Consider the following 15115-nt stretch of genomic DNA (forward strand, 5'->3'; position numbering starts at 1 on the left):
GACAGAGTGAAACCCTGTGCCAAAAAAAAAAAAAAAAAAGTTTTCCAGGTGATTTTGATACACACTCCTAGTTTAAAAGAGAAGGAAAAGGAAGGAAAGGTAAAGAGGGAGAGAATACGATAAAATAAATGAGACAAAATGTTGACAATTAGGGAATCTAGGCAAAGAGCACATGAGAGTTGTTTGTGCTATTCTTGCAACTTTTCTGTAATCCTGAAACTATTTCAAGATTAAAAAGTTATTTTTAAAAAACCCACCCAGGCCAGGCGCAGTGGCCATGCCTGTAATCCCAGCACTTTGGGAGGCCAAGGTAGGTGGATCACCTGAGGCCAAGAGTTCGAGACCAGCCTGGCCAACATGGTGAAACCCCCGTCTCTACTAAAAATCTAAAAGTAGCCAGGCGTGGTGTCAGGCACCTGTAATCCCAGCTACCCAGGAGGCTGAGGCAAGAGAACTGCTGGAACCAGGGGGGCAGAGGCTGCAGTGAGCCGAGATCACGCCACTGCACTCCAGCCTGGGCAACAGAGCAAGACTCCATCTCCAAAAAAAAAAAAAAAAAAAAAAACAAAGCCACATATACCAGAATCACACACAATTCTGTTTCAAGATGCCACTATCTTTTCAAACATGAAAACATGAATTCTAGGAATGCTAATAGGGTATCATGTCTATAAATTTATCCAAATTATCCTTTTTTTTTTTTTTTTAAAGATGGAGTCTTGCTCTGTTGCCCAGGCTGGAGTGCAGTGGCACGATCTCGGCTCACTGCAACCTCTGCCTCCCAGGTCCAAGCGATTCTCCTGCCTCAGCCCCCCTAGTAGCTGGGATTACAGGCACACACCACCATGCCCAGCTAATGTTTGTATTATTAGTAGAGATGGGGGTTTCGCCATGTTGGCCAGCCTGGTCTCGAACTCCTGACCTCAGGTGATCCACCCGCCTCGGCCTCCCAAAGTGCTGAGATTACACGCGTGAGCCACCACACCTGGCAAATTATCCCATTATTATCTGGAAGCATTTGTGATGAGGGAATGAGGTTGGATGTGTTTAAATCAGTTATTGAAACCTACTAACACACAGGTGTCAATAATTCATGACAACCTCACTGTAAAGGTATGGAAACAGTTTCTATGCCTCTTCCATCCTCTAAATGACTTTGTATTTATGATATTCCTAGTTCTTAAACTATAAAAAGTCTCAGTGGGTGATTGTGGAGATCCATTTAAAATTCCATTTTCCAAAACTTAATGTTTCTTCTCTCCTACTAATCTTCCTATGCAACCTCACATCAAACAATAAACAGAAGAGAAACACAAACTTTACCTTCTCTCTTTTTCTCCCCCTTTAAACTTCTCCAATCTCTCTACATCTTCACAGCACATGTACTCTAACATTTTGAGTTATTATATGAAAGATATAGTGGTAGAAGTTTTATATACAGTATCTAATTTAATTCTCAAACCACCCTATGCAGCAGGCATTATCCTCATTTTATAAATGAAGAAATAATTAAACAATCACAGTTAATACCAGAATTTTAACATAGATCTATCTAGTTCCAAAACCCATACACTTTTTCCTTTTTTTTTTTTTTTTTTGAGACAGATTCTCTCTCTGTCACCCAGGCTAGAGTGCAGTGGCAATAATCATGGCTCACTGCAGCCTTGAACTCCTGCGCTCAAGCAATCCTCTCACCTCAGCCTCCCGAGCAGCTGGGACTACAGGCATGTACCTCCATGCCAGCCAAAATTTAACTTTTGGTAGAGTCAGGGTCTCACTGTGTTGCCTAAGCTGGTCTCAAATTCCTGGACTCAAGCAATCCTCCTGCCTCAGCCTCCCAAAGTGCTAGGATTACAAGCATGAGCCACTGCACCTGGCCCCCAATGCCTTTTTTTTTTTTTTTTTTTTTTTTTAAGACGGAGTCTCCCTCTGTCTTCCAGGCTAGAGTGCAGTGGTACAGCCTTGGCTCACTGCAACCTCCATCTCCCAGGTTCAAGAGATTCTCGTGCTTCAGCCTCCTGAGTAGCTAGGATTATAGGTGCACACCACTCCACCTGGATAATTTTTGTATTTTTAGTAGAGATGGGGTTTTGCCATGTTGGCCAGACTGGTCTTGAACTCCTGACCTCAGGTGATCTGCCTGCCTCAGCCTCCCAAAGTGCTAGGATTAGAGGCATGGGCCACCGCGCCTGGCCCACAATGCTTTCTTGAGTTACATTTATGTTGTCGCACTTTCAGTTCTCCTTCCTGAATAATATATTTCTATACAGTACAGAACCTTATCAGATAGCTAGACAGCAAGGTACAGTTTCACAAAGATAAAAGTTAAACAGAAGTTTTTCAGTCACAAATTAAGAGCCTTTTTTTCTCTCCTTCAGATCCCAAACTTTTAGTTTCGCATATTCTATCTCCCACCCCATTTGGGCACAACTTAAACCCAAAAAATGCTACCTACCCATTGAAAGCTTCCATGTAGAGATTTTGTATGAACATGGAGATTCCAATTATAAACTTATCTGATCCACTATTGTATTGGAAATCTTCAAGAACACCCTCAGATTTGATGATTCACTAGGAGGACTCAGAAAACTCAGCACATAGTTGTACTCATGGCCGTGCTTTATCACAGCAAAGGGATATAAAGCAAAATCAGCAAAGGAAAAAGGTACATGGGGCAATGTCCAGAGAAAACCAGGCGCAAGTGTCCAAGTCTTCTCCCAGTGGAGTCACACAAGACATACTTACTTCCTCCAGCAATGAATTAAAACAACATGTGTAAAATGCTGTCTCCAAGGTTCTTCTTAGGGGGTGATCACATAAGCACCCTCTGCCTACTACACAGCAAAATTCCAGACTCCCAGAAAGAAAGGTGTTCTCTATAAACCACATTGTTTATACAAACAGCTTAGGCACAATGGGCCACTCTTTTTGGTTCTGGAAATGTAGGAACCCTCCCCAAATCTAAGTTCCTAGATGCCAGCCAAGGGCCAACCTTGCAAGCAGACCTCGCTAAGCATATCAGTCTCAATCAGGCCTGCTATGTTAATTCTTTCTGCACAACTGAGATGTTCTCTTTGGAAATAACATGGTTTTTTGTCTTGTTTTTGGAGTTCTGTGTTTTTCTATTCAAAATGCACCCCCATTTCCTGTCACTTTAACTAAAATTACCTTATTGAAATTTGTATCTTTTTGTAACTTATCAGCTACTTATGCCCAACTTTTAAAACTTTTACAAGCCACAAATATGGTGGATACATTATGGGATGATTAAATTATTTGTCTATACTTAAGTAGAATATCTATGAGAAAAATCCCTTTAAGATTTAAAGATAGTAATCCAAGGTGATTCCCTCTCCAAGGGGAACATCCAGTGCCCCTCTCAGGAAAGTAGCAACCTGGAACAGAATCTGGCATGCCTAAGGCATTTGGGGAACAGGGCTGGTTATTTCCTCTGCCTTCCTTGGCTGCCTACATGGATACCCAAGAGTCTTCCTTTCGGGATAGCGTGTCCTCTTGTGCACATGCTGAAGAGTTGTCTTTCTTGACGTAGGTCAGAGGCATTGATATGCAGCAAGTTTCTTTAGTCATCAACTATGACCTTCCCACCAATAGGGAAAATTATATCCACAGAATCGGTTGAGGTGGACAGTTTGGCCATAAAGGTGTGGCTATTAACATGGTGACAGAAGAAGACAAAAGGACTCTTTGAGACATCAAGACCCTCTACAACACCTCCATTGAGGAAATGCCCCTCAATGTTGCCGACCTCATCTGAGGGGCTGTCCTGCCACCCAACCCCAGCCAGGGCTCAATCTCAGGGGTCCGAGGAACAGCAGGAGAGGAGAGGGAAGGGAGCCAAGGGATGGACATCTTGTCATTTTTTTTTCTTTGAATAAATGTCACTTTTTGAGGCAAAAGAAAAAAAAAGATTTAAAGATAGTAAAAAAAAAAAATAATCTCAGCACACTGGGATAAATATCATTTGATGCAATTTAACATATATATCATTATTGGTCTTCTATACTGTAACAGAATTGGTAACTATTAATACTTTTTCAGCAAAGAAAAGAAAATCTTGGCTCTTATTTCTGCTTATTACCAATTAATATGCAAATTTCCAGATTAGCTGCTAACAATATGGAAGTGCTATTCTTTTAAAAATCACCACCTAAAAACTAGTCAGGAAACCCACGCTTCCCTCTTCTTAAAAGAAATTAACTCATGACATTTTAAAAGGAATTAGCCTTGCTGTCCTCCTACACATTTTTGTTTTCAATAGTTAACAGTATCTTAGACTGAGTATGTTCTGTTCAACAGGTCACATAAAAAAATTAACATCACAAGAATATTTTACCTCAGCTTAAAAAATAGGAAAGGAGCCTAAATACCTGTATACAAATGTGTACTTCCTTAGTTTTTGGTTACACCAGCAAATTAAGTAACACTGGACTGTAAGTGAATCAGTGATTGATCTGTACCCTGAAATAACTGCTGAAATGTCTTCTGCCTTTTTCCCCTACAATCACTTCTGTTAACATATGTCCTGTCCTCATGTAAACTTAATATGAGCTCAACAGAATGAAGAATACAGACGCCTTCAAGGAACTGAATCTAACAGAAGAAACAAATAACAATAAAAATTGTAAGACAAAAGTACTGGATGTTAAATAGTGTGAAAAGAAATAAATGTGAAGTAAGTTCTAAAAAGAGGTAAAAACAAAAACCAACCACCAAAAACCCTTTCTCCTTCAATTTAAGATCTCCAGTTTAGAAGGTTCAAAATACATGAGTGAAAAATGACAACAAAAAATTGCTTTGTATATGTTTTGGTTAGCAATACAAAATGATACACACATCAAAGAGGCTTAAAAGGATACACCCCAGAACTTTTATTAGATTGTTGTCTCCCAGTAGGAAAGTGGGTATGGGGTTTGTTTTTAGTTTTTGCTTGATTTTTTCCCGTAATAAAACATACTGCATTTGTAAAAAGAACAAATCATTTTTTTCATTTCCCATCAGAGAAGTAAAGGAAGAATGTAGTATATAAATGGCTTATATTTTTTCTATTTCCTAACGTCAAAACAAAATCTCTGTGTTTTAATAAACATTTTATACTTGCACAAAGAATGAAGGTTTTCCTCTCTTCTGTTGCCTTTGTAAGCTGTTTCCTTAAAACTCAGTGATCAAAATAAATAAAATACAACTAAGTACTCCAGAAAAGATCTTCAAATTGGAAACCAGTTAGTATGCACCATCACCCTCCCTATCAGTACAGACTGCCCTCTCACTGAGGTCATCCTCTCCAGGTAACTTTCCTGGATCATCCCTCATTTTCAAGTATTATTATCCCAAAGATCATTCTTCTCAAAGTAAACAGTCTTTTTTTTTTGTTGCTATGTTCACTGCAAATAAGAAAAAAAAAATAACCTCTATTTGTATTATTGTAACAAGCTATGCAAAGAAGCCCATGCATTAAGAAAGGCATCTTGGTAGGCAATAGCTTACAGTTAGGTCTCAGGTCTCATGTTCCAGCTCTGGCCCCACATGCTATACATTATTTCATTTAGTATGAAATTGGGATAAGAGAATTCTTTTGTCAAATTACGTGCCAGTATCACGCTGTTTTAAATACTGCATTTTTATAACAGGCAGCATAGCCTGGTGGTTAAGGCAGTACACTTGAGCTAAACTGCCTGGCTCTTTGACCCTTCTCTTTACTACTTCCTTGGCTGTGTGGCCTTGCGCACGTTATTTAACATCCCAGTAATTCAATGTCCTTATTTGTAAAACGGAGATGATAATGATACCTATCTAATAGAAAGAGCTGATGTGAGGATTAAAAGTTTTAGGCTTTTAAAATATTTCCATTTATTTATTTATTTATTTATTTAGAGATGGAGTCTCTCGCTCTGTCGCCCAGGCTGGAGTACAGTGGCCTGATCTCAGCTCACTGCAACCTCCACCTCCCAGGTTCAAGCAATTCCCCTACCTCAGCCTCTCGAGTAGCTGGGATTACAGGTGGGCGCCATCACGCCCAGCTAATTTTTGTATTTTTAGTAGAAATAGGGTTTTGCCATGTTGGCCAGGCTGATCTCGAACTCCTGACCTCAGGTGATCCACCCGCCTCTGCCTCCCAAAGTGCTGGGATTATAGGCATAAGCCACCACCTCCGGCAAAATATTTCCTTTTACATGCTATCTGCTCACTGCAAAAAAATATTCAAATAACACAGACATATGCAGAGTTAAAAGTGAAAGTTCCCTCCGCATCTCTACTCCCACCCAGCAAGGAACCTACAAAAATACTAAGATGAGCTGGGTCTGGTGGCTCACACCTGTAATCCTAGCACTTTGGGAGGCCGAGGCGGGCAGATCACTTGAGGCCAGGAGTTCAAGAACAGCCTGGCCAACATGGCAAAACCCCCTCTCTACTAAAAAATACAAAAATTAACCAGAGGTGGTGGCGCATGCCTGTAATCCCAGCTACTCGGGAGGCTGAGGCATGAGAATCGCTTGAACCTGAGAGGCAGAGAGTACAGTGAACCAAGATCACGCCACTGCACTCCAGCCTGGGTGACAGAGCAAGACCCTGTCTCAAAAAGCAAAACAAACACACACACAAAAAAACTAAGATGATTGTTTTAGACCAACTGATAACTTATTTGTTTCATTCACAGTTGTCTAGACCAAGAGAAACCTCCTCTGAATCTGATTAATAGACTCTGTACATCGGTTATTCTAGAGTTTCAGATAAATGTAGTTACTAGATAGAAACATGAGTAGTGTCTCCAACGAAGGGGCTCAGAGTGCTGCATGTAACATAATGGGTGACCCAAATATTTAGCAACCAGCAGAGCAAAGTCATTACAACTCTTTTTCTTTTTTTTTTTTTTTGAGACTGAGTCTCACTCTGTCGCCCAGGCTGGAGTGCAGTGGCGTGATCTTGGCTCACTGCAACCTGTGCCTCCTGGGTTCAAGAGATTCTCCTGCCTCAGCCTCCTGAGTAGCTGGGATTACAAGTGTGTGCCACCACACCCAGCTAATTTTTGTATTTTTAGTAGAGACGGGGTTTCACCATGTTGGTCAGGCTGGTCTCAAACTTTTGACCTCGTGATCTGCCCACCTCAACCTCCCAAAGTGCTGGGATTACAGGCATAAGCCACTGCGCCCGGCCCATTACAACTCTTCATCAAATATTTCCAGCTGCCCTCCCAGGCACATAACAAAACTACACTTTCTCCATGCCCCCCGGCATTACATGAGACCACATGACTTGCTTTGGCCAGTGAGATATAAAAGGAAGTGACATATATCCCTTCTGGCTTTTAGTTTCCACTAGTACTTGACTCATTACTCTGTTTCTCTCTGCAATGCTAACTGCCAGCTTTCTAGAACGATGGTTGAAGACTCTGTCAGCCTGGGTCTCTGGGTGATAAAAAATGGGTATAGCCCACCTCCCACCTCCTTTGGGGGGTCTGAGGGGGTAAGACCCACCTCCTGATCCATATGGGACATGTATTACAAGTGACAAACTTTGGATGTGTTAATCCACTGAGATTAGGGAGGGCGGGTAAGGGGGATTGTTGTTGTGGATACTAACTTATTACCTAGTCTATCCTGATTAGACAGACCAACTGATTCTAAAGTTAAAATAAAATGTAAGCAAACAAGAACAGCCAGGAATATTCTGAAAAAATAACAATGAAGAGGAACTAGCCCTGCCAATAACAGCAAAAAAATAAAGACCTAATACTTATACAACACCAACTACAGGCTAAGTACTTTTCTAAGCACTTTATATAGCTTAACTAATTTAATCCTTGCATCAGCCCTCTATTAGATAGGTATCATTATCATCTCTATTTTACAAATAAGGACATTGAATTACAGGGATGTTGAATAACATGCCCAAGGTCACACAGCTAAGAAAGTGATAAAGACAAGACTCAAAGCTAGGCAGCTTAGTTCAAGTCTATACCCTTAACTACCATTATACATTATAATGTATACATGTACATTATAAAAGTACAATAATTAAAACTGTGATATTGGCACATTATTTGACAGGCAAATTAAGAGAACATAAAGTGCAGAAATAGAATCAAATGCACACAGGATTTAGCATACAAAAAGGTGGATAAAAGCTTATTCAACACATGGTTATTCTGAAATCCCCACCCCCTTTCTATAAGCAATTCCAAATTCAAGGCATTTATTCTATAGCCATACTAGCACATGTCTAAAATGACACATATTAGGGTTTGTACTAGGACACTGTTTACAACAGCAAAAAACTGAAAACAAAGTAATTATATAATTCATCCACACAATGAAATGCTATGCATCCATTTAAAAAAAAAAAAAAAAGCAAGTTCTTTATTTACTGACATGAAAGAATGTCCAACATAAGCTATATAATAGCATCCATCTAGGGGGAAAAAAAAAGAATGGGGAGAATATACACGGATACAGGTACACATGCATAATATATCTCTGAAAGTATATACAACGAACTGGTGATTTGGATTGCCAAAATTTGGGTGGCTGAAGAAAAGGAGTGGCAGGAAGACTTCAAACTGTATCTCTTGAATTTTGAACCACATAAATGTACTGACCCTTCAATAAACAAACAAATGATTTAAATTTTTTTAAAAAACTCAGCCATTTAGCAGCAGGGATAAATGCCGAAAGGATAGATTGAGAATTCTCTTGATAAAGGAGCTGAGCAGCCATTACACTCCACATACAAGCTGAAACTGAGAAAGCCAGCTGGAAGAAAGGAAAACTGAACAGATGTACAGAGCGAAAAAGAGATGCCAAACCTTGCAGTTCCTGAAAGAGAGAGACAGAATATGCAGTCTTAATTTCTAATAGCTTGCCAGCTCCAGTTTCCAACAGGCACAGCTGTACAGTGATGCCTGTCCATGGAGTGTCGTGATCCCCAGTATGCCCACATAACAACAGTCCCTTCCATTACCTTCTGAAGTCAGCTCCTCTGATTCTCCATTCTTTTCTTTCTTTTTTTTTTTTTTGTTAGGGCCTCTACCACTAGCTGTTCTATCTATCTGAATAAGAAGGTATTTTAGGATCATTTCAAAGTGTCCTTTGTGAGGGAGGAAAGAAAGATTGTGATTTACCCAAGTGAAGTGCTGGACGTATCCAATCAGAATGTTAGCATTAAAACGACAACTATACATTATAAGTCCAGAAGCACAGAAATCTGGTAATTAAGCCTAGGCACAGAACAAGCCTGATACAATATACTACCTTGTATTAAGGTCTCAAAATTCTCTCAGCCTTAACATTTTTTAATTTTTTAAAATTTATTTACAATTGTCTGAAACCTATTTCAACCAATAAAAATGTTAAAAAATAATGTTTAAAAAACAATAACAGCTATAACTTTTTGAGTACTTACCATTAATCATGCACTAGCTGAGAATTTTACATGTAATAATTCCTTAATTCTCATAACTCTATGAGGTAGGTATTATTAGCATACCTATTTTACTGGTGAGAAAAGGGACACATAGCGAATGAATAACTTGCCCAGGAATACATTATTTCTAAGGTCTCTTCAGGTTGTAAATTTTTTTATACCTATGTCAAGCTACCAAAATCAGAAATTTAACAGAGGATCTAAACCCACACAGACTGACACCAGAGTCCATGCCATTAACAGCATGTTTATAAATGATTACATCTCTGACTGATATTGTCACAGAAAACACTCAATCAGAAAATCTAAATGCTTCATGAATTATTAGTGTAAGAAAACAAGGTCAGTAAAGTCATTCTAATTATCTCTTAAATATCCTTTTTTTTTGAATAAGTATTTTCCTGGTAATAGCAGTTATCTACTTTCCCTTTATAAATATTTACTTCAGACTCAAGTCCACAAAATATCTGAGAAAGGCACAAAAATAGTACACGAAGACTAGCCTAAAAATAAATCAGTTATATTTATTAACCTTTAATAAAGTGAATTGTATATGTTATATATATATTTTTTCAACTTTTAAGTTCAGGGGGTACATGTGCAGATTTGTCACATGGGTAAATTGTGTGTCACTAAGGTTTGGGGTACGAATAATCCTGTCACTCAGGTAGTAAGCACGGTGCCCAACAGGTTTTTCAACCCTTGCCCCCCCCATTCCTTCCCCTCTAATAGTTCCCAGTGTCTATTATTCCCACCTTTATGTCCATTTGTACTCAATGCTCAGCTCCCACTTATAAGTGAGAACACAGGGTATTTGGTTTTCTGTTCCTGCATTAATTCACTTAGGATAATGGCCTTCAGCTGCATCCATGTTGCTGCAAAGGACATGATTTTGTTCTTTTTTATGGCTGCATGTATACATTTGCTTTTTTCTCTTATCATATTATCATGAAGGCTTTGGGAAGACCGGAATATCAATGAGGGATATCTCCCCTCAGATGTAGCAGAGAATTGGGAAACAACAAAACTTACAATCAAGCTCTGCAACCTACTAGCTGTGTGGTCTGAAGGCAGAAGACAATCTCTCTTAGCCAAATGTCCTTGTCTGTAAAGCCAGAGAGTATGTTCAGCTCTTAGAGCAGTTCTGAGGATTAAATGAAGTAGTAGGATAATGTGTCTGACACACAAGCACCCAATCCCTAAACCATTCTACCACTAAAGCACAACAGTTAAGAGTGTAATTTTTGGAGTTATATGCCTTGTTCTGAAAACTGTTTTCATCATTTATCAGCTAAGAATTAAATGAGATAAAGTTTACAGAAATGTTGGCACATAAATGCTCAATGATGTAATAATACTACCAAAAGCAAAAAATAGGCACTAACAAAAAATAACTAGAAACTAAATCTAGAAAAATGGGTTAGATTCTAGTCTTTCTGTGCTCTAAGACTGGGTTCAGGGCACACTAGTCCAAAATACAGCACCTTGGCATTTGAGGAAACAGCAGAAGCAAAGAGGTCTCTCTGACCTTCTCCAGCCCTTCTCCTCTGAAGCAGACCATAGAAGAATTATCTCATCTTCTTCTCTGAAGTAGGTTATAAGACCCTCATTCCAGAGGTACCCTCCCTTTACTCAGAGGAAAGGAATGTCCTTATCTCTGAAGACACAGGGACATTGAGAAGACTATGACCAAACAAGCCTTGCTAAGTTCCCCCCAGGTTATTATCATTAGATCATTCTCCCTCTGTCCATCAGACTTCTACACGCTGTCCACTCTCCATCAAACCTAACCCATAAAATTACATAAGTTTCCCTGTTGATTTGGGTCTTCATTTCTGAAGGCTCCATGTCACATAAAACTTAAATAAATTTGTATGTTCTTCTCACTAATCTGCCCTTTGCTGTAGTGGTCTCAGCCATGAACCTAGCAATGGATGAGGAAAAAATAACTACTTTTTCTCCCCATACATCTACTGCTAAGCTATGGGTCCATAATCAACTTGTTTCAACTACCCAAGTATCATTTACCCATCTGTAATTCAAATATATTAGAATATATGACTTCTACAGTCTCTTCCAGTTCTAAATTTTTATACCTATGTCTCTCTAGCTACCAAAATCAAAAATTTTATCTTAAAAACAACCAACACCCTCATACAAATACTCACTCTCAGGAAAAAGAAAAACAAACCAGCAGGAGATTCAGAGAAATTCAGAGATTCAGAGAAATGACCCAAAATGGCCAGCTCTTAAACTGCAGCCAAACATTTCAAGTAATAAGAAACATGTTTATTTTTGTTTTTAGAGACAGGGTCTCACTCTGCACCCAGACTGGAGTGCAGTGGCACAATCACACCTCACTGTAACCTCACACTCTTGGGCTCAAGCAATCCTCCCAACTCAGCCTCCCTAGTAGCTAGGACTACAGGCACACAGCTAACTTTTAATTTTATTTTTAAAGACAGGGGTCTTGCTATTTTGCCCAGGGTGGTCTCAAACTCCTGCCTCAAGCAATCTTCCCCCTCAGCCTCCTCAAGTGCTATGACTACAGGCATGAGCCACTGTACCAGGACAGAAATATGTTAAAAGCAAATACTTTAAATGAGAAAAAAAATGATTTTAAAAAACAACACCGGCCAGGTGCGGTGGCTCATGCCTATAATCCCAGCACTTTGAGAGGCTGAAGTGGGCGGATCACCTGAGGTAAGGAATTTGAGACCATCCTGGCTAACACAGTGAAACCCCACCTCTACCAAAAATACAAAAATTAGCTGGGCGTGGTGGTGCACACCTGTAATCCTAGCTACATGATAGGCTGAGGCGAGAATCGCCTGAACATGGGAGGTGGACGTTGCAGTGAACTGAGATCATGCCACTTGCACTCCAACAGTGATAGAGCAAGACTCTAACTCACAAAAAAAAAAAAAAAGAAAAAAAAAAGCTTTAAGAGAAAAATTTTTAAAGGATAAAAATAAAAATATTTCGCCAGGCGTGGTGGCTCACGCCTATAATCCCAGCACTTTGAGGCCGAGGTGGGCGCATCACGAGGTCAGAGATCGAGACCATCCTGGCTAACACAGTGAAACCTCACCTCTACAACAAAATACAAAAAAAATGAGCTGGGCTTAGTGGCGGGCGCCTGTAGTCCCAGCTACTCGGGAGGCTGAGGCAGGAGAATTGCTTGAACTTGAGAGGTGGAGGTTGCAGTAAGCCGAGATTGCACCACTGCACTCCAGCCTGGGCGACACAGCAAGACTCTGTCTCAAAAAAATAATAATAATAAATAAAAATAAAAATATTTCATATACTGCCAGGAAGAAAGAATAAATATTTAAATATAAATAGATGAGCATGACCTCAGACTTGAGAATACTCAAGCTTGCAAGCTTGGAAAAATATTTGCTCAGAGCTGACGCCACCTTGACAACCACAGCATATAGCCAAGATGACTTTTCTCTTTAAAGATAGTTAATAATTTCAGGAAACAGAAGACTTGAAACAATTAGATCAAAGAACTTATAAAAGCATTAGAATTTTTCCAAATATCAGGGTCAATGAAAGAACAAAATAAAACAGAAAACAAGACATATAGTGATGAAGATAGGATTTCATAAAGTTTTCAGTCTAAGACTTAAAAGTGCAATTAGGCTGGACCTGCTGGCTCACATCTGTTATCCCAGCACTTTGGGAGGCTGAGGCGGGAGAATTGCTTTGAGCCCAGGAGTCTGAAATCTGCCTGGGCAACAAAAGAGATGTAATCCCTAAAAAAATTTTTTTTTTAATTTAACCAGGTGGGGTGGTATGTGCCTATAGTCCCAGCTATTCAGGGGGCTGAGGTGGGAGAATCACTTGAGCCTAGGAGGTCAAGGCTGCAGTGAGCCTGTACCACCGCACTTCAGCCTGAGCAACACAGTGAGATCCCGTCTCAAAAAATAAAAATAAAAATAAAATTTTTATAAGTGCAATTAAACTAAAAATACAGTAATCAAAGGAAAAACATATACAGGAGAATAAAACCAAATTTAGGCCAGGCATTGTGGCTCATGCCTGTAATCCTAGCATTTTGGAAGGCCGAGGCAAGTGGATCACTTGAGGTCAGGAGTTCGAGACCAGCCTGTTCAACACTGCGAACCCGGGTGATGGAGGTTGCAGTGAGCCAAGATCACACCACAGCCTGGGTGACAGAGCAAGAATCCTTCTCGAAAAAAAAAAAAAAATTTAAATAACTGTTTACCAATCAATAACTGCAAAGAAAACTCAGATTAGTTCAAAGCACCTCCGTGGAATAAAATCTGCACTGTAACATGCCAGGTACAATATCTCTGAGTGTACAATGAGGAAAATACTCTCTCCTTATGTATTTGTCCATTCTCACGCTACTGTGAAGAAATACCAGAGACTGCATAATTTATAAAGGAAAGAGGTTTAACTGACTCCCAGTTCTACATGTCTGGGGAGGCCTCAGGAAACTTGAAATCATGGTGGAAGGCACCTCTTCACAGGGCAGCAGGAGAGAGAACAGCCAAGTGAAGGGGAAAGCCCCTTATAAAACTATCAGACATGGTGAGAACTTACCATCAGGAGAACAGCATGGGAGAAACTGCCTCCATGATTCAATCATCTCCACCTGGTTCTACCCTTGACACGTGGGGATTATTACAATTCAAGGTGAGATTTGGGTGGGGACACAGAGCCAAACCACATCATCCTACTTGCTGAATATATCAATCATTTAAATACTACTGAGTGCCTGGCACCATTAAAGGTACAGGGACTACAAGGGTGAACAAGACCAAGTTCCTGTTCTCACAGGTCTTACCATCTAAAGCAGCAATGTCCATTAGAAATATAATGCAAGCTGGGCAGGGCATGGTGGCTCACACCTGTAATCACAGCACTTTGGGAGGCCAAGGCAGGTGGATCACCTGAGGTCGGGAGTTCGAGACCAGCCTGACCAACATGGAGAAACCCTGTCTCTACTACAAATAACAAAATTAGCCAGGCATGGTGGCAAATGCCTGTAATCCCAGCTACGCGGGAGGCTGAGGCAGGAGAATTGCTTGAACTCGGGAGGCGGAGGTTGTGGTGAGCCAAGATCGTGCCATTGCACTCCAGCCTGAGCAACAAGGGCAAAACTCCGTCTCAAAAAAAAAAGAAAGAAATACAATGCAAGCTGGCTGGGCGTGGTGGCTCATGCCTATAATCCCAGCACTTTGGGAGGCCGAGGCAAGAGGATCACCTGAGATCTGGAGCTCAAGACCAGCCTGACCAACATGGAGAAACCCTGTCTCTACTAAAAATACAAAATTAGCCAGGCGTGGTGGCACAAGCCTGTAATCTCAGCTACTTGGGAGGCTGAGGCAGGAGAATCGCTTGAACCTGGGAGGCGGAGGTTGCAGTGAGCCAAGATCACACCATTGCAATCCAGCCTGAGCAACAGGGGTGAAACTCCGTCTCAAAAAAAAAAAAAAAAAAGAAATATAATGCAAGCTACAAATGCCATTTTACTTTTTCTAGTAACTACATCAAAAATTTAAATTCAAAAAATTAATTTTTATATATATGTCTATCTAAAATATTATTTAAAACATGTAATCAATATAAAAAAATTAATGCAGTACTTTATATTCATTTTTTCCATACTGAGTTTTGAAACATAATGTGTATTTTATTACAG

At 40.0% G+C, this 15115-nt stretch overlaps 1 protein-coding gene, 1 non-coding gene and 1 pseudogene across 10 annotated transcripts in view; 2 read left to right on the forward strand and 1 right to left on the reverse strand.

Moving 5' to 3' along the window:
* The window catches only part of ABL2 (ABL proto-oncogene 2, non-receptor tyrosine kinase), a 130348-nt gene that overhangs the window by 98822 nt on the left and 16411 nt on the right, over positions 1 to 15115 (reverse strand). Inside the window, exon 1 of one of the 9 annotated variants that reach the window (XM_017001035.2) lies at positions 8977 to 13857. The exons of the other annotated variants lie outside the window; for them this stretch is intronic. Coding sequence (XP_016856524.1) covers positions 8977 to 9196 — 220 coding nt within the window. The 5' untranslated portion in view covers positions 9197 to 13857. Of the gene's footprint in view, positions 1 to 8976; positions 13858 to 15115 lie in introns of those variants that run through there. 9 annotated transcript variants of the gene reach the window in all.
* Positions 3336 to 3476, forward strand: LOC124900429 (small nucleolar RNA SNORA67). Its single transcript, XR_007067386.1, has one exon. It is a non-coding gene; the product is annotated as a small nucleolar RNA SNORA67 (small nucleolar RNA).
* On the forward strand, positions 3550 to 3924 carry EIF4A1P11 (eukaryotic translation initiation factor 4A1 pseudogene 11; annotated as a pseudogene).

This window comes from Homo sapiens, chromosome 1, assembly GCF_000001405.40.
Source record: "Homo sapiens chromosome 1, GRCh38.p14 Primary Assembly".
NCBI lineage: Eukaryota > Metazoa > Chordata > Mammalia > Primates > Hominidae > Homo > Homo sapiens.